General features: G+C 53.9%; 2 protein-coding genes across 33 annotated transcripts in view, besides 4 other annotated features; one reads left to right on the top strand and one right to left on the bottom strand.

Moving 5' to 3' along the window:
* Positions 124–749: an enhancer, noted in NCBI's record as "NANOG-H3K27ac-H3K4me1 hESC enhancer chr19:41255833-41256458 (GRCh37/hg19 assembly coordinates)". NCBI's record gives its function as "activates a minimal SCP1, AML or CMV promoter by ChIP-STARR-seq in naive and primed H9 embryonic stem cells {active_cell/tissue: H9 hESC(naive and primed)}" and the evidence as "EXISTENCE:reporter gene assay evidence [ECO:0000049][PMID:30033119]".
* Positions 193–432: an enhancer, noted in NCBI's record as "active region_14664". NCBI's record gives its function as "activates an Ori minimal core promoter by ATAC-STARR-seq in GM12878 lymphoblastoid cells {active_cell/tissue: GM12878}" and the evidence as "EXISTENCE:reporter gene assay evidence [ECO:0000049][PMID:35858748]".
* Positions 200–9816, top strand: ACTMAP (actin maturation protease). Of its 28 annotated transcripts, none has more exons than NR_148548.2 (9): positions 200–392; positions 1070–1196; positions 5479–5547; positions 5994–6118; positions 6481–6610; positions 6702–6762; positions 7907–8162; positions 8813–8983; positions 9238–9816. NR_148548.2 is itself a non-coding variant. In NM_001353808.2 (9 exons), the coding sequence occupies exons 4-8, from the start codon at positions 6016–6018 to the stop codon at positions 8970–8972; spliced, it is 720 nt and encodes a 239-aa protein (NP_001340737.1). In that variant the 5' UTR covers positions 200–392; positions 1070–1196; positions 5479–5547; positions 5994–6015; the 3' UTR covers positions 8973–8983; positions 9238–9816. The 28 variants fall into 28 exon arrangements, 24 of the variants coding, with proteins under 24 accessions (NP_001340737.1, XP_011525086.1, XP_011525077.1 ...); NM_001353808.2 differs by having other exon boundaries at positions 6702–6772; XM_011526784.4 differs by adding an exon at positions 8488–8604 and having other exon boundaries at positions 6702–6772; positions 8813–9816.
* Positions 4703–5668: an enhancer, noted in NCBI's record as "H3K27ac-H3K4me1 hESC enhancer chr19:41250914-41251879 (GRCh37/hg19 assembly coordinates)". NCBI's record gives its function as "activates a minimal SCP1, AML or CMV promoter by ChIP-STARR-seq in primed H9 embryonic stem cells {active_cell/tissue: H9 hESC(primed)}" and the evidence as "EXISTENCE:reporter gene assay evidence [ECO:0000049][PMID:30033119]".
* Positions 5669–6635: an enhancer, noted in NCBI's record as "H3K27ac-H3K4me1 hESC enhancer chr19:41249947-41250913 (GRCh37/hg19 assembly coordinates)". NCBI's record gives its function as "activates a minimal SCP1, AML or CMV promoter by ChIP-STARR-seq in naive H9 embryonic stem cells {active_cell/tissue: H9 hESC(naive)}" and the evidence as "EXISTENCE:reporter gene assay evidence [ECO:0000049][PMID:30033119]".
* Positions 9817–17069, bottom strand: part of ITPKC (inositol-trisphosphate 3-kinase C) — a 23749-nt gene continuing 16496 nt past the window's right edge. The window contains exons 5-8 of one of the 5 annotated variants that reach the window (XM_047439466.1): positions 13590–13691; positions 12908–12979; positions 11098–11320; positions 9817–10727 (exon numbers count right to left, since the gene is read on the bottom strand). In XM_047439466.1, the coding sequence (XP_047295422.1) occupies positions 11117–11320; positions 12908–12979; positions 13590–13691 (378 nt within the window). In that variant the 3' untranslated portion in view covers positions 9817–10727; positions 11098–11116. Of the gene's footprint in view, positions 11871–12907; positions 12980–13589; positions 13692–17069 lie in introns of those variants that run through there. The other 4 variants (XM_047439468.1, NM_025194.3, NM_001411098.1 and 1 more) reach the window with 4 other exon arrangements.

Here is a 17069-nt window from a genome sequence, read left to right as displayed (position 1 = left end):
GGACCAATCAGTGAAGGTCACGAGTCTGTACGCGTCTCGCGCTGCGGTGTCTTCCGGAGGCAATCCTTTTTGGAGTCCCGCCTCTTACCCCCGCCAGAGCTGCGTTTTCTGTCACGTGATCGCAAAATGGGCGGGAACTGTTGCGTGTAATACCACGTGATATGGGAAAGGCAGTGTGCGGGGGCCGCCATTTTCCGGGAGTGGGAGGTGCACTTTACTTCCTGACTCCTTTCCTTTTTCCAGTGGTTATCGCGGCGCCCACCGGCCTCTGATCTCTGAGTCTTCTCCAACCCACAGACGTTTTTTGTTGCTCTGGTTCCAGGACCTTCTCCACAACTAGGCCATTTTCCCTGCCAGGTGTCCTTTTTGACCTCTTGACCTCTGACTCAAAGGTCAGCTCAAAGGTTCCGAACTCGGGCCTGGGATGTGAGGGGGTACTGAACCTAAGTTCTCCGAATCTTTAGCCCTGGGTCCCTAAGTCGCATCCTTAAGGCACCTCACTCTAGATCTGAGCCTTCATATCCCAAACTCACTCATGAGTTTCCACATCCAGCCCCAAAGAATGAGTTAACTCCTACTAACTCTCCACCTAAGACTCCCGAGGTAACCCAACCGGTACCACAGATCCGGTTCCGGATTTAAGGACCCCACCCTGTTAACCGTCAGGTGCCTTATGACTTGAGTCAGCCTCGCAATTCCTGCTCCCGTGGTTTCAAATATTAGCCCTGGTCCTTTCACACCCACTGCTCAGTCCCCAGATTCTGGAACTCAGCTCTTAAACCTTTAAAATCTCCATCCCTGAGACCGTTCTCCGTTGGAGGATCCTTCCCTCCCCGCTTTCTGAACCTCTCAACACCTCCTGTAGACCCCAAAATGACTTCTCCATGCTCTCCTCCCCTAAAACCACCAATTTCTCCTCCAAAAACCCCTGTACCCCAAGCCAGCAGCATTCCATCTCCTCCTCTACCCCCAAGTCCCCTGGACTTTTCAGCTTTACCATCCCCTCCCTGGAGTCAGCAGACCCCTGTTCCCCCACCGCTCCCACTGCCTCCTCCACCCGCTGCCACAGGGCCTGCTCCCCGTCATGTCTTCGGCCTGGAGAAGAGCCAGCTCCTGAAGGAGGCCTTTGATAAGGCCGGCCCGGTCCCCAAGGGCAGAGAAGATGTGAAGAGGCTTCTGAAACTACACAAGGACCGGTAGGGTCTCCATGCCCCACCCACCACCCAGGCTCTGCCCTAGACACTTCACAGATCTCTTGGGGTGGGGGGGGGGTTCCCGTGTCCTCAAGATCAAACAGGCTGACTACTTAGGTCCCCCACCTAGATCTCTTCCATGGTGGTGTGCCTCCAGCAATGAAGAAAGCTGTCCTCACAAGTGCCCAGTCCAGTCCGGGTGCTTTGGCTCATGCATGTAATCCCAGCACTTTGGGAGGCCGAGGCGGGTGGATCACCTGAGGTCAGGAGTTGGAGACCTGCCTGACCAATATGGTGAAACCGCATCTCTATTAAAAATACAAAAATTAGCCAGGTGTGGTGGCATGCAACTGTAGTCCCAGCTACTCGGGAGGCTGAGGCGGGAGAATCGCTTGAACCCTGGAGGCAGAGGTTGCAGTGAGCCAAAATTGCGCCACTGCACTCCAGCCTGGAAGACAGAGCAAGACTCTGTCTCAAAAAAAAAAAAAAAAAAAAAAAAGAGCAAATGCCCAGTCTAGTGAGAGAGACAGATCCCTCCACCTTTCCAGACAGTGACAACCCAGAGTGGTCAGGGCTGTCATGACAAAGCCCAGAGGGGTGTCTGACCCAGGCTGGGGAGTCAGGGGGAGCTTCTTGGAGAAGGGGAACCCTGAGTGCTGTTGAGCAAGTCGTGCAAATGCTGTGTGATGAGAGTATACAGCTTGCGCAGGGGCCTGGAGTGAAATGAGGACATGTTCTATTCAAGGAACTGCAAATATGTCCTTAACTTGCCGGGGGAAGTGGCAAACATGGGGCTGTGAAAGCGGCAGAGCCAGCCCACGCAGGACAGAGCGGGTCGTGCAAAGGGACTGAGACTTTCCTGAGGGCACGGGGGAGCCCTGGAGAGGCTCTGTGCAGAAAAGGAGGCTGCCTGTGGAAGTGGTACTTAGGAGCCTTGAGGAAACTGGGACATCCAGGGACCCAGGTGGGAGGGGAAAGGAGAGTGCCAGACCTAGGCTGGGGCCCTGAGGCTGAGGTTTAGTGATTGCCTGGCTGAAGAAAAGAGGGAGAAGCGACTTGCCAGGACTCACATTGAAACTCCAAGCTTTCCAGACACTTTTTTTTTTTAATGGAGTTTCCCTCTTTCATCCAGGCTGGAGTGAACTGGCGCCCACCACCACGCCCAGCTAATTTTTGTAATTTTAGTAGAGACAGGGTTTGTCATGTTGGCCAGGCTGGTCTCGAACTCCCAACCTCAGGTGATCCACCTGCCTCAGCCTCCCAAAGTGGTGGGATTACAGGCGTGAGCCACTGGGCCTGGCCTCCGGACACATTTATAACCTTCCCTAAATGCCCCCACTGAGATGAGGCAAATTTAATGCAAATTACAGCCACCTTTTACTGAATGCCTTACCCTATGTCAGGCGCTGTTGTGTTTAAATATTAATTTACTGAATCCTCTCAACAACCCCATGAGGTAGAAACTTTTATTGTCTCATTTTCCTGGTGAGAAAACTGAGGCTCATAGAAGTGAAGCCCCTTAGCTATAATGCCCCTTAGCTATAGTGCAGAAAGAGGAAGAGTCCAATTTGAACTCTGGCGGCAGGGCTCCAAGCTGTTTGTTTGTTTGTTTGTTTTTGGGACAGGGTCTTGCTCTGTTGCCCAGGATGGAATGCAGTAGCTGGATCACAGCTCACTGCAGCCCCAACCTCCCAGGCTCAAGTGATCCTCCCATCTCAGCCTCCAAAATAGCTGGGACCACAGATGTGCGCCACCATGCCCGGCTAGTTTTTTGTACATATATATTTTTTTGTAGATATAGAGTCTTGCTGTGTTGCCCAGGCTGGGTCTTGAATTCTTGGGCCCAAGCGATCTTCTTGTCTCGACCACCCAAAGTGCTGGAATTACAGGCGTTAGCCACCGCACCCAGCCTGGCTCCATGCTTATTTATTTATTTATTTATTTAGAGATGGAGTTTCGCTCTTATTGCCCAGACTGGAGTGCAGTGGCATGATCTCAGCTCACTGCAACCTCTGCCTCCCGGGTTCAAGCGATTCTTCTGCCTCGGCCTCCTGAGTAGCTGGGATTACAGGTGCCCACCACCACGCCTGGCTAATTTTTTGTATTTTTAGTAGAGACGGGCTGTCGTCTTGTTGGCCAGGCTGGTCTCGAACTCCTGACCTCAGGTGATCCACCTGCTTCAGCCTCCCAAAGTGCTGGGATTACAGGCGTGAGCTGCTGCACCCGGCCTCCATGCTTTTAATCATACTTATGTGGTATCATCTTTCATCAGGAGGGTACCCTAAACTAGGAACCAGGAGCTCTGAGTCCGCACCCCCCCAACACCCAAACCGAACCTTGCCTTCTTACCAGCCTTGGAATAGGAATAATAAGCATGGGCCGGGCACGGTGGCTCATGCCTATAATCCCAGCACTTTGGGAGGCCAAGGCAGGCAGATCACCTGAGGCCAGGAGTTTGAGACTAGCCTGGCCAACATGGCAAAACCCTGTCTCTACCAAAAATATAAAAATTAGCCGGAAATGGTGGCACACACCTGTAATTCTAGCTACTCGGGAGGCTGAAGCAGGAGAATTGCTTGAACCCAGGAGGTGGAGGTGGCAGTGAGCCAAGATCGCACCACTGTACTCCAGCCCGGGCGACAGAGCAAGACTGCATCTCAACAAAAAAAAGGAGGCCGGGCATGGTGGCTCACGCCTGTAATCCTAGCACTTTTCAGAGGCTGAGGCGGGTGGATCACCTGAGGTCAGCAGTTCGAGACCAGCCTGACCAACATGGAGAAACCCCGTATCTACTAAAAATACAAAAAAGGGCCGGGTGCAGTGGCTCACGCCTGTGATCCCAGCACTTTGGTAGGCTGAGGCGGGCAAATCACGAAGTCAGGAGATCGAGACCATCCTGGCTAACAGGGTGAAACCCTGTTGCTACTAAAAATACAAAAAATTAGCCAGGTGTGGTGGCGGGAGCCTGCAGTCCCAGCTATTCGGGAGGCTGAGGCAGGAGAATGGCGTGAACCCGGGAGGCAGAGCTTGCAGTGAGCCAAGATCGGGCCACTGCACTCCAGCTGTCTCAAAAAAAAACAAAAACAAAAACAAAAACTTAGCCAGGCATGGTGGCGCATGCCTATAATCCCAGCTACTCAGGAGGCTGAGGCAGGAGAATCGCTTGAACCCAGGAGGCGGAGGTTGTGGTGAGCCAAGATCGCACCATTGCACTCCAGCCGGAGCAACAAGAGGGAAACTCTGTCCCAAAAAACAAACAAACAAACAAACAAAAAGGAATGAATCCCTCAGGGCCAGACTATCTGAGTGGCCTCCCCCAGGGTACAAAGATTCACTATCAAGGTGATGTTTTAGGCCTTAAGCATGTTGTTACCTGGTTTTATTCAAAGTTCAGTTAAGGGATTTTCATTGTTGAACAGCCCAGGAAACAGACTTGAAGCGAAAAACAAATCACAGAGTTTGGAGCCTGGGCAACATATAGCATGATCTCATCTCTACTAAAAATAAAAAGAGTCGGGCACGGTGGCTCACGCCTATAATCCCCAGCACTTTGGGAGGCCAAGGTGGGTGGATAACCTGAGGTCAGGAATTCGAGACCAGCCTGGCCAACATGGTGAAACCCCGTTTCTACTAAAAATACAAAATTAGCTGGGCGTGGTGGCGCATGCCTGTAATCCCAGCTACTCGGGAGGCTGAGGCAGGAGACCCACTTGAACCCGGGAGGTAGGGGTTGCAGTGAGCTGAGATCGCGCTGTTGCACTCCAGTATGGGCAAAACGAGCAAAACTCTGTCTCAAAATAAAATAAAATAAAAAGAACTAGCTGGACATGGTGGTGCATGCCTATACTCCCAGCTACTCAGGAAGCCGAGGCAGGAGGAATAACTTGACCCTGGGAGGTCGAGGCTGCAGTGAGCTTTGATTGCATCATTGCATTCCATCCTGGGCAACAGAGCAAGAAAAAGAGTTGGAGATAGAGATACCACTTTGAGAAATTTCCTCAGATAAACCTGGTTGCAAAGTGCCACCCTTTGCTCCTCACCCTTCAATAACTGAGAGAGCGAGCAGGGAGCAGGCAGGCAGAAGGACCATTCCCACAAACCAGATGAGGAAACTGAAGCTTGGGGAGGGGAAGTCAGTGACTGAACCAGGAGCCGCCTTCAGCCTTAGGACAGCCAGGCCCATATTCCCTTCATCATCCCTGGATACGACCACTCCCAGCCAGACCTCAGGGTAGGGGGTGCTTCAGAGCTGGCTCCCTGGTGACTGAGCACGGCTCTGCTTCAGGTTCCGAGGTGACCTGCGGTGGATCCTCTTCTGTGCAGACCTGCCGTCCCTCATCCAAGAAGGCCCTCAGTATGTGCCCTGATGCGGGAACCCCAGCCCATCTGCTGCCTTTACTCTGCCCTTGCTGGGCTTCTTAAGGACTGATCTGGAGAAGAGGAGTGGATTGTCCCTGCTGGGAGGAGGAGGGAAGGAAAGGGGGAACTTTCCACTCAGGCTTCTGAGTGCCTGCATAGTAAACATAGTTGGGACATGCGAGGAATGAACGAATGAGCCTGGTCCATCTCTCTAACTCCACCTTGGTTCCTCCTCCCAGGAAGCTCAGGTGACCTCTCCCCCGCCTTCCACCCCCAGCCCTCCAGCCCTGGGCTCTCCCCTGAAGGGGAGTCAGGTCTCCCTCGCTGGCCTGGGAGAGGGGAGGGGGACTCCTCCAGGGCAGCAAACCTGTTCCCCAACTCCAGCTTCCAGGTAAGGGGGCTGTGACATAGGATTGACAGGCTGGGCCTCTCTGTCCCCAGATGCGGGCTGGTGGCCTTGTGGATGGCAGGTACTCTCCTGTCGCCCCCCAGTGGCGTCCCCCTGGAGAGACTCATACGGGTGGCCACGGAAAGAGGCTACACGGCCCAGGGAGAGATGTTCTCAGGTGAGCTGGGTGACTGCATGCTCCATCATCTCTTCATGAGGCTGGGACCAGAGAGGCTGGGTGGGATGCTGGCAGCCGTGTGTCAGGGTGTCTCATTCCATTCTTTGGGCCCTTCCCACTGCCCAGTAGAGCAGAGAGGTTACAAGATGGACTTGAGCTGGCTGCCTAGGTTGCAAACCCAGCTCTGCCACCTCTTCGCTGGGGCCATGGACAAGCCACTCACGCTCTTTGTGCCTCATTTTCTGCATTTGTACCAAGGGGTGGAAGGTCATGGTGAGGGTTGGAAGCATCGCCCACTGTGAGCCCTCAGCACGGTGCTGGGCACATGCAGCAAGCCCCCTCTGTGTGCTCTCACCCTGCAGTGGCCGATATGGGCAGGCTGGCCCAGGAGGTGCTGGGCTGCCAGGCCAAGCTGCTCTCTGGTGGCCTGGGCGGTCCCAACAGAGACCTCGTCCTGCAGCACCTGGTCACTGGACATCCCCTGCTCATCCCGTATCCCAGGGCCTGGGAGAGAGGAGGGCAGGGGTGGCAAAGGGTGGGTCCCAGGGCCACACCATCGTTTTTACCTTAATGCCAGCACCAGCTACGACGAGGACTTCAACCATGAGCCGTGTCAGAGGAAGGGCCACAAGGCACACTGGGCGGTGAGTGCAGGTGGGTTCCCCCTCCTTTGTCTGCACCCCTCAACCTGGGTCTCCCCGGCCTCCATTAATCCTCCTGACATTCTCACCCCTTGTGCTGGTGCCTCCCCAGCCAGGCTGGGCACTTAGCATTAGCACCGGGCAGGCTGGGCCCCAGGTGTCTGCCAGTTGGAGCTTCTACAAACAGAAGCTCAGAGCACAGATTTCAGGATCAGACCGTCTGGGCTCCAGGCCTGGCACAGCCTCTTCTAGGCTCTGTGACTCTGGGCAGGTATCATCACCTCTCTGGACAGCTCCTTTCCCCATCTGGAAATTGGGGGTAACAGTACCCACCTCATAAGGCTGCCTTGTAGGCAGAGCACTCAGCACTCTTAGAACAAGGCTTGGCCAGGCGCGGTGGCTCACGCCTGTAATCCCAGCACTTCGGGAGGCCAAGGTGGGTGGATCGCTTGAGGTCAGGAGTTTGAGACCAGCCTGGCCAACATGGTGATACCCTGTCTCTACTAAAAATACAAAAATTAGCCAGGCGTGGTGGTGTATGCCTGAAATCCTAGCTACTTGGGAGGCTGAAGCAGGAAAATTGCTTGGACCTGGGAGGCGGAGGTTGCAGTGAGCTGAGATCGTGCCACTGCACTCCAACCTGGGTGACAGAGCAAGACTCCATCTCAAAAAAAAAAAAAAAATAGAACAGGGCTTGGCGTGTGACATGTCTCTGTAAGTATTACCAGCACCGTTTTCATCATTCCCCCTGCCTGAAAGAAAGAAGGCCAGGTTGGTCCGCGTCAGGAGGTCCGGGGGAGGCTCCGCTCAGCTTCTTCATGGCTTTGTGGTCTTGACAGCTCCTCTTGGAGCCTCTTCCCTAAAGAGCTGAGGATGACCGGGTGACGGCATTTGCTTCATCTCATGCTGCCTCCCCACCTCCCCTGTGCTCAGGCCAGATGAGGCAAGACTTAAAACACCTACAGCTTTGGAGCCGGGTGCCACGGTGGGTCCAAATCCCAACCCACTGGCCACCACTAACGTCACCGTAACCTAGGAATGGCAGCTGCACCCACCCTGGAGGGCCGGGAGAGGGCGGAACTTAGTGAGCCCCAGCACCTGGTCCTGGCTCAGTCACTGCCACTCACCACCTTCTCCTCTCCCCCAGGGGTCCTGCTGGGTGTTCGGGCTGTGCCCAGTCTCGGCTACACTGAGGACCCTGAGCTGCCGGGCCTGTTCCACCCAGTGCTGGGCACGCCCTGCCAACCACCATCCCTGCCAGAGGAGGGCTCCCCGGGAGCTGTCTACCTGCTGTCCAAGCAGGGCAAGAGTTGGCACTATCAGCTGTGGGACTACGACCAGGTCCGGGAGAGCAACCTGCAGCTGACGGACTTCTCGCCCTCACGGGCCACTGACGGCCGGGTGTACGTGGTGCCCGTGGGTGGGGTACGGGCTGGCCTCTGTGGCCAGGCCCTGCTCCTCACACCACAGGACTGCAGCCATTAGCTGCGGCTGCGGTCTCAGGCTGCAGCCTAGCTCGGTAACCATTTGAAGTGTGCCTACACTTCTCCCACTGTGTGATGGCGACAAGATTGAAGCTAGGTCTCAGGGGTCTCCAGTCCTCCTTCATCAGGGCCACCCCCTGCAGTATTGAGCACCAGCTGGTCCCTCTAGGGAGAGATTGACAACAGCCCGGACCCTGCGGCCTGCCTATTCCATCTGAATGTCGCATCGTCTGTTTCTCACTAGGGGCCGCCTCTGTCATCTCACTAGACATTTGAGGAACCTCCTGCCTGGGCCCTCTGCTTCTCACAGGACAGGGACACTGAACTGCGTCAGCCTCAGCTCACCCCTCCTTAGCCCAAGGTCTTCCTCATGCTTGCCACCTACTAGTCATACTGGCCTTTTAGATCCCTGAAGTGTTGTTCAAATCCCCGGATCATTGAGTCCCACCCCCAGCCCTCTGCTGCGGATCACTCCTTAACTTTTCCATTGGGGCTCAGGTATCACTACCTCAGGGAAGAGTCCTGCAGCCCCAGTCAAGACACCCCTCCCCCACCTCATGTCTTCACAGTTTTAAAGCCCATCTGGGAGCAGTTACCTGTGCCAGCCCCTCTACCTGTGTTAGCAGATCTGGCAACCCTGTAAGGGGGGTGCTAGATGGACCCGATTTGACAGATGGCAAGACTGAGGCCTGGAGAAGTGGAATCACTGGCCTGAGGTCACATGACTAGCACATGGCAAGGTCAGGATTCAAGCTAGGTAGTCAGTATCTCAGCCAGGCTGTCTCCTGGCTCCCTGAACATTATGGTGCTGACCACAAACTTTCCTGTCCACTTATACAAACTTCTAGTGAGTGTGTGTGATTACTAGCTTCATGAATACCTGACCCCTCCACTCTGAAGGAGGAACAGGCCTGTCTGGATCACTTCTCTGTCCCTAACTGAGCCCATCTCATTTAGGGAAACTACAGAGCACTGTTGCTTTTTTTTTTTTTAGATGGAGTCTCGTTCTGTCGTCCAGGCTGGAGTGCGGTGGCGTGATCTCAGCTCACTCCAGCCTCCACTTCCCAGGTTCAAGTGATTCTCCTGCCTCAGCCCCCCAAGTAACTGGGATTACAGGCATGCACCACCATGCCTGGCTAATTTTTTGTATTTTTAGTAGAGACGGGGCTTTGCCATGTTGGCCAGGCTGGTCTCGAACTCCTGACCTTGAGTAATCCACCCGCCTCGGCCTCCCAAAGTGCTGGGATTACAGGTGTGAGCCACTGAGCCCGGCCACAGTGCAGTATTTCTAACCAGTGATCAGGGTAAAGAGGATGCGTGTCCACCATCCCAGCCCTGATCAGCCTGTCTGTGCATCCCCCATCCCAGCCAGGGCTTGGAGCAGCCTTGCTCACCACTGTGTCCCCTGCATTGTAACACATCCAGGCACAAGAATAGCCGCCCAGTGACTGCCAAGTGAGTGAACCAGCCTGCTTGGAGCCTGCCTCTTTCCCAAACTGCTCATTATCCTGTTACCCCACCCAGCCCACGTGTCCAAATACACTCCAGATGCAAAATAAAAAGCTCTACGACATTGGCTCTGAATGTTCTGTTTATTGGGGTGTTGTCATGGGTAGGAGGCTCAGCAGAGCCATTCTGCCTCCTGCTTCCCAGTACTACCCCGTCCAGCAACTGCCTCTCGTATAAATAAGTATCAAGATGGTCAGTAGAAAAGGAGAGCATCTCCTCAGCCCTGGAAGACAGTGTGGGAGCTTCAGCTTAAGGAAGAGGTAGGTGCCTGTCCGCCAGCCCAGCCTCAAGGGCCAGGAAGACCTGGCTATGGGTGCTGGAGGGGCCGTTAGCCACACCCCAGGGTTCTACAGTCTTTGGTTTGGATCAGGCTGCAGGCCAGGGTCCTGGCTGGCAGCCCCACCCACCCTGCGCCTCTGACACACACCCAGCGCTTTTCCCTGCAGGGGCCCGGGATTGGATGGGGCCCTCCTGAGTGCAGCAGCTCTGAGTTGCAAGGGGAGGCCCACTTTCCCAGCCTCTGAACCTCCTTTCTGCCACTGCAGTTTGCTGGGAGAAAGGAGAGAGAAGCCTGGGGGTCAGGCAGGAGGTGTAAGTCCTGAGGCCGGATCTGGTGCACAGAGGAGCGAGGTACTGTCACAGTGCTGGCACAGAAGCTGGGATGTGGCTGTGGTTTGGGTCTGCAGGAGGTCAGCAGAGTCCGCCGAGGAACACGGAGGATCCCACAGGGCCACAGCAGGGCAGGATACCGCCCAGCGGTATCAGCCCTCAGGCCGCATCCAGTCCCATGGGGTCATGCCCTCTGAGCCTCTTGTCGCTCAGCACTCAAATGGCTCCCTGGTGAAGACATGGACTGTCACTCTCCCCAGATGGTCCAGCAGCGCCTGCATCTGTTCACCAATGATGCTGACCCTCTGAGGCGCCACAGATGAGCCTGACCCAGTCCCTGGCCTCAGCCAGCTGGCAGCCTGGAGGCTGACAGGGAGGCAGGTTAGAAGTGATTCATGTGTCCACAGGCACCCTGTCACACCATACCCTGTGACATGTGAACTGAATGCTCTCAGGGCAGCCCCTCAGAAGCCTTCCCGGCAGATCCGGGGACCCCGTTCTGGTTTTTCTGACTCACTGCCTCATCACCTTCCTTCCAGGTCCCCAAAACCCCTGCATCATGATGGGGCCAGGTGCTACCTGGTCTCCCAAGGCCCTTCAGACTTTTCCACGTTGGTCTCGTGTGGCACATGACACAATCTCTCCCGTCCCTGGAGGCCAGCTCCCCCGTGGCCAACCTCAGGCCTCCCATGGCATCTCAGGGCTCCTCCAGCCAGACTGGCGCCATCCAATTAACCTGATGGTGGCTGAGCAGCTCAGCTCTGTGCCAGCCCCTGCAGGAGGCAGATCATGTTGTCCAGGCCCCAGAGGTAGCCGTCCTCACGGTTGCCCTCAGCCCAGGGCAGCCTGTGGCTGAGCGTCTGGTGGTCGGGCAAGGCCACCGTCTTGCCGAAGTCTATCATCCAGACCTTGGCCAGGCCGGTGTGGTCGTGCACGAAGAGGAGGGAGCTGCCTACCACCTGCCGGGGTAGAGACGGGAGGTTAAGGGAGGAGCAGGCACTGGCCAAGGTCCCTTCCTGACAGGCAGCAGAGCAGGGTGATTGACAGCATGAACCCTGGAGCCTGGCTGCCTGATTCATATCCTGGCTGTGCCACCTCCTGTCTGTGCAGCCTTAGGCAGGTGTCTTAACCTCTCTGTGGTTCTGCGTCCTCATATACAAAGTGAGAGTAATACAGTTAGTCTCCCCAGTCCGTGGTTTCATTTTCTTTGGTTTTAGTTACTCTCAGTCAAGTGCGATCCAAAAATATTAAGTGGAAAATTCCAGAAACAAACAATGTGTAAGTTTTAAGTTGCACATTGGTTTAACTACTGTGATGAAATCTCGTGCCATCCCGCTTCGTCCCACCTGGGATGCGAATCATCCCTTTGTTCAGCAAGTCTATGCTGTATCCGCAACCCACCCACTAGTCACCTAGGAGCCATCTTGGTTATCAGATCGAGAAAACACAGTCTATAGTTCAGTACTATCCACAGTTTCCGGCATCCACTGGGGGTTTGGAGGAGATCACCTGAGGATAAGGGGTCGACTGTAGGATCATTTACCTCAGAGGCTGCTGGGCATATTATATGTAGGAATTAATCTACATTAAGTGCTTAAGACAGTGCTTGGTACATAGCAAATACACAGCAAATGTTCAGTGTGAGGCATAATCAAAATGCACTGCAGCCTTGACCTCCTGGACTCAAGCCCTCTTCCTGCCTCAGCCTCCTGAGTAGCTGAGACTACAGGTGTGCACCACCATGCCTAGCTTTGCTTTTTTTTTGAGACAGAGTCTCACTCTGTTGCCCAGGCTGGAGTGCAGTGACACAATCTCAGCTCACTGCAACCTCTGCCTACTGGGTTCAAGCAATTTCTGGCTAATTTTGTTGTTGTTGTTGTTGTTGTTGAGACAGAGTCTCACTCTGTTGCCCAGGCTGGAGTGCAGCGGCACAATCTCGGCTCACTGCAAGCTCCACCTCCCGGGTTCATGCCATTCTCCTGCCTCAGCCTCCCAAGTAGCTGGGACTACAGGCGCCCGCCACCACGCCCGGCTAATTTTTTGTATTTTTTAGTAGAGACGGGGTTTCACTGTGTTAGCCAGGATGGTCTCGATCTCCTGACCTCGTGATCTGCTCACCTCGGCCTCCCAAAGTGCTGGGATTACAGGCATGAGCCACCGCACCCAGCCAATTTTTGTATTTTTAATAGAGACGGGGTTTCGCCATGTTGGCCAGGCTGGCCTCAAACTCCCGACCTCAAGTGATCCGCCCGCCTCAGCCTCCCAAAGTGCTGGGATTACAGGCATGAGCCACTGCACCCGGCCTTTTTTTTTTTTTTTTTTTCCAAATAGAGACGGGGTCTTGCTGTGCTTCCCAGGCTGGTCTTGGCACTCCTGGGCTCCAGCAATCCTCCCACCTCAGCCTCCCAAAGTGCTGGTATTACAGGTGCGGGCCACAACGCCCAGCCCCTTTTTATATCTTTGACCTGTAACTCATCAATGGTTTCCCCTCCATGCACCTGGACCCCGACACCCATACATCCACCCATGGAAGCCAGGGCTCGCACCTCGTGGGTCTTGAAGAAGGGGGAGATCTCCAGAGCTTCACGAAGTTCTTCTAGGCATGCCACGTACTTTTGCTGTGTGACAGGGAGCGTTCTTTGGTTAGCATGGGGACTTTGTGGGGCCTTGCCCACCTTGAGCTCTGACCTCACCCCATTCCCCCAAAGGAGCAGGCAGGCTCTAGCCAGGATGGAATAGGGGAGCCATGGGGAAGACAGGGCAGAGGAGTGAGGGCTTGGATTCATCAAGGTGGCATGGAGAAGAGTGGTGGATTCCATGAATTTCCACTCCCATCCGGAGGCGGAGTCTGTCTCCAGACCCCTCGATCCAGGCTGGGTCACATGACTTGCCGAACGGCAGAAATGATGGTGGCCATTCTGAGCCCAGGCATCAAGAGGCCTTGCATTTTTACTTGTTCTCTTGGCCCCCTGCCTCCACTGTGAGAGCAAGCCCAGGCCATCCTGCTATCGAGAGACGTGCGGCCAAGTCATGAGCCAACCGGCAGAGCTGGGAGCAGGGCCCCCTGGACCAGCCAGCCTTGCCAAGCCACCAGCTGACCTCAGACTGAGCAAAGCCAGCCAGTATCAGTCCAGCCCCACCCAAAGCAGAAGACCACTGACTCTGGAGCAAGAATAAATGGTGGCTGTCTTAAGCTGCTACATTCTGGGACATGGGTGTCCCACTCACCAGGATGACGTGGTCTCCATCCACGAAGTCCTCCAGCACTTTTGTCACCTGCTCCAGTGCCTGCGTCTTCTTGAAGTTGGTGTTACAGGTCCCATCTGCCTTCTGTAGGGCAGGGTGTGGAGGGGCAGGGTCATGGGCTTTTCCTTCCCGCACCCAATACCCAGCAACCTCAAATACCTCCCAGGAGGCCGGGCGCGGTGGCCAAGACCAGCCTGGGCAACACAGCAAGACCCCATCTCTATTTAAAAAAAAAAAAAATTCTGGTGTGGTAGTATGCACCTGTGGTCCCAGGTGTGGGATCATGCCTATAATCCCAGTGCTTTGGGAGGCCGAGGCGGGAGGATCACTTGAGGTCAGGAGTTCACAACCAGCCTGGCCAACACGGTGAAACCCCGTTTCTACTAAAAATACAAAAAATTAGCCAAGTGTGGTGGCGGGCGCCTGTAATCCCAGCTACTCGGGAGGCTGAGGCAGGAAAATCGCTTAAACCCGGGAGGCAGAGGTTGCAGTGAGCATTGATTGCACCACTACATTCGAGCCTGGGTGACAGAACAAGACTCTGTCTCAAAAAAAACAACTTCCCAGGGCCACCCACCTGCCTGCACACTTGCTGCCAGAGGAGGAAGCCAGCTTACCTGCCCAGCCCAGCTCAACCCAGCCCCAGGTCACATGCCTGAGCCCCAGTCCTTCCACACCCTTCCAACCTTGAACCTCCTGGTTGAACCCATCTAGGAAAGTGGGCTTTGGAGCAGGGTGGAGCTGGCTGTGAATCGTGACTCTGCTCTTTTCTTTTTTTTTTTGACAGAGTCTCACTCTGTCACCCAGGCTGGAGTGCAGTGGTGCAACCTGGGCTCACTGCAAGCTCCGCCCCCTGGGTTCATGCCATTCTCCTGCCTCAGCCTCCTGATAGCTGGGACTACAGGCTCCCGCCACCACGCCTGGCTAATTTTTTGTATTTTTAGTAGCAACGGGGTTTCACCATGTTAGCCAGGATGGTCTCGATCTCCTGACCTCATGCTCCGCCCGCCTTGGCCTCCCAAAGTGCTAGGATTACTGGCGTGAGCCACTGCACCTGGCCATCTCTGCTCTTTTCTAGCTGGGCAGTCTTAAGTCATTTCAGCTGCCTCAGCCTCAGTTTCCTCATCTGGAAAACGGGAATTGTGTTGGTGTCTACTTGCTAAGGCTGGTGTAAGGATTAGAGGAAACCAGGTGTGTAGGATGCACAGCACAGTGCCTGGCATATAGTTATTTGAGACTAATGAGACTAATGTTATCTGTTATGTTTCAGTAGGGCTCAGAGAACCCACCTAAGTCATCTGCCACACTGTGCCAGGTGCTATGTGGGCACTTGGCAATAGGGAGTAACACGACAGACACAGTCAGATGAGGGGGCAGACACTGATTAAGATGATCAGAAAGGAAGATAAGAATAATGAAAGAGTATAAGGAGCTATGAGGAGGTGAAGAGGGGACCCTGATCAGTAGAACAGAAATCAGGGAGGGCTTCCCTGAGGAAGCAAAATTTGAAAGGAGACAGAAAAATGACTGAGAATCAACCAGACCAGGGGGCACAGACGGAAGAGACCAGGGTGTGGTGGCACGCACCTGTGTCCCAGCTACTCAAAAGACTGAGGTGGGGGGATCACTTGAGTTTAGGAGATTGAGGCTGCAGTGAGCTGTGATCGCGCCACTGTACTCCAGCCTGGGGGATGACAGAGTGAGACCCTGTCTCAAAAAAAAAAAAAATAGAAGAGCATTCCTGGCAGAGGGGTGCAGAGGCCTTGTGGCAGGAAAAAGCAAGCCTATTTCAAGTAAATGCAAGTGCTTCACTGTGCCTGAAGGTACACAGAAAGAATGAGAGGAATGAGAGGTTGGGCGTGGTGGCTCACGCCTATAATCCCTGCACTTTGGGAGGCTAAGTCAGGCAGATCACTTGAGGCCAGGAGTTCAAGATCAGCCTGGTCAACATAGTGAAACCCCGCCTCTCTTAAAAATACAAACATTAGGCCGGGCACAGTGGCTCACGCCTGTAATCATCCCAGCACTTTGTGAGGCCAAGGCGGGTGGATCACAAGGTCAGGAGTTCAGGACCAGCCTGGTCAATATGGTGAAACCCTGTCTCTACTAAAAATACAAAAATTAGCCAGGAGCGGTGGTGCACACCTGTAATCCCAGCTACTTGGGAGGCTGAGGCAGAAGAATCGCTTGAACCCGGGAGGCAGAGGTTTGCAGTGAGCTAAGACTGTACTACTGCACTCTAGCCTGGGCAACAGAGCGAGACTCTGTCTCAAAAAAAAAAAAAAAAACAACAATTAGCCAGGCATGGTAGTGCGTGCCAGTAATCACGTCAAGTCAGGAAGCTGAGGTGGGAGAATCGCTTGAACCCAAGAGGTGGAGGTTGCAATTAGTTGAGACTGTGCCATGGCACTCTAGCCTGGGTGACAGAGCGAGACTCTTTCTCAAAAAAAAAAGAAAAGAGAAGAATGAGAGAGAAGAGGCTAGATCCTAGAGGGCCCTACAGGCTATGGAACTTCACTTCAAGGTACTAGGGAGCCACAGAAGGGTTTCGAACAGGAGAATGGCATGGTCGGATCTGCAACAGGCATTCTCATACATTGCTGGTGGGATGTGCAGTGGCATAACACCGAGAGTGGAAGTTTGGTCATCTCTCGCAAATTTCCCATGCCTTTAAGCTTTGACCCAGGAGTCCTGCTTCTGGAAATCTACAGCTCAATCTGCATACTTGCAAAATGTCTTATATACAAAGTGATTCTTTGAGGCCTGCTAATGGCAAAAAATGGAAACAACCCAGGTGTCTGTCTATAGGGGACCAGGCACAGTCACAAAAACAGTGTTACATAGCTGTGGGGGAAAAAAAAACAGAAAGAGGAAGCTTTCTATGGAATGATGTGGAAAACTCTGCAGGGTGTTACTATTAAGTGAAAATAGCAAAGTACCAATCAGTATGCGTACTGAGGAACATTTCGGATCTACAACTCCATTTACTGGCACTAACAGGAAGAAATACAAGAAACTGACAAAGTGGTTCCCCATGAGCAGGTAGAGGGATAGAGGGACAGAATGGGAAGGACAGCAGCAGAGTTGGGAGAGAAATTTCTCCACATTTACCCTTTTATAATATTATTTTGACTTTTGAACTGTGTGACTAGCTATTCAAACAATTTTTTTTTCTTCTAGAAACAGAAGCTCCCTATGTTGGCCAGCTTAGTCCTGAACTACTCCTGGCCTCAAGCAATCCTCCTGCCTTGGCCTCCCAAAGTGCTGGGATTACAGGCATGAGCCACCATGCCTGGCCTATTCATACAATTATATTTAATTTGACAAAGAAAAAGGAATGCAAGAAAGAAAAAGAGAAACCTTCTCCATAGCTGGGGGAAAGGGATCCCTCCAGCTCTTGTGCTGCAGGGAGACCAGGGCCAGGATGCCCAGGGAGACAGAGGCAGGAGAAGATGGGGCTGG

This window comes from Homo sapiens, chromosome 19, assembly GCF_000001405.40.
Source record: "Homo sapiens chromosome 19, GRCh38.p14 Primary Assembly".
Lineage (NCBI taxonomy): Eukaryota > Metazoa > Chordata > Mammalia > Primates > Hominidae > Homo > Homo sapiens.
This window is presented reverse-complemented; position numbering and strand designations above follow the sequence as displayed.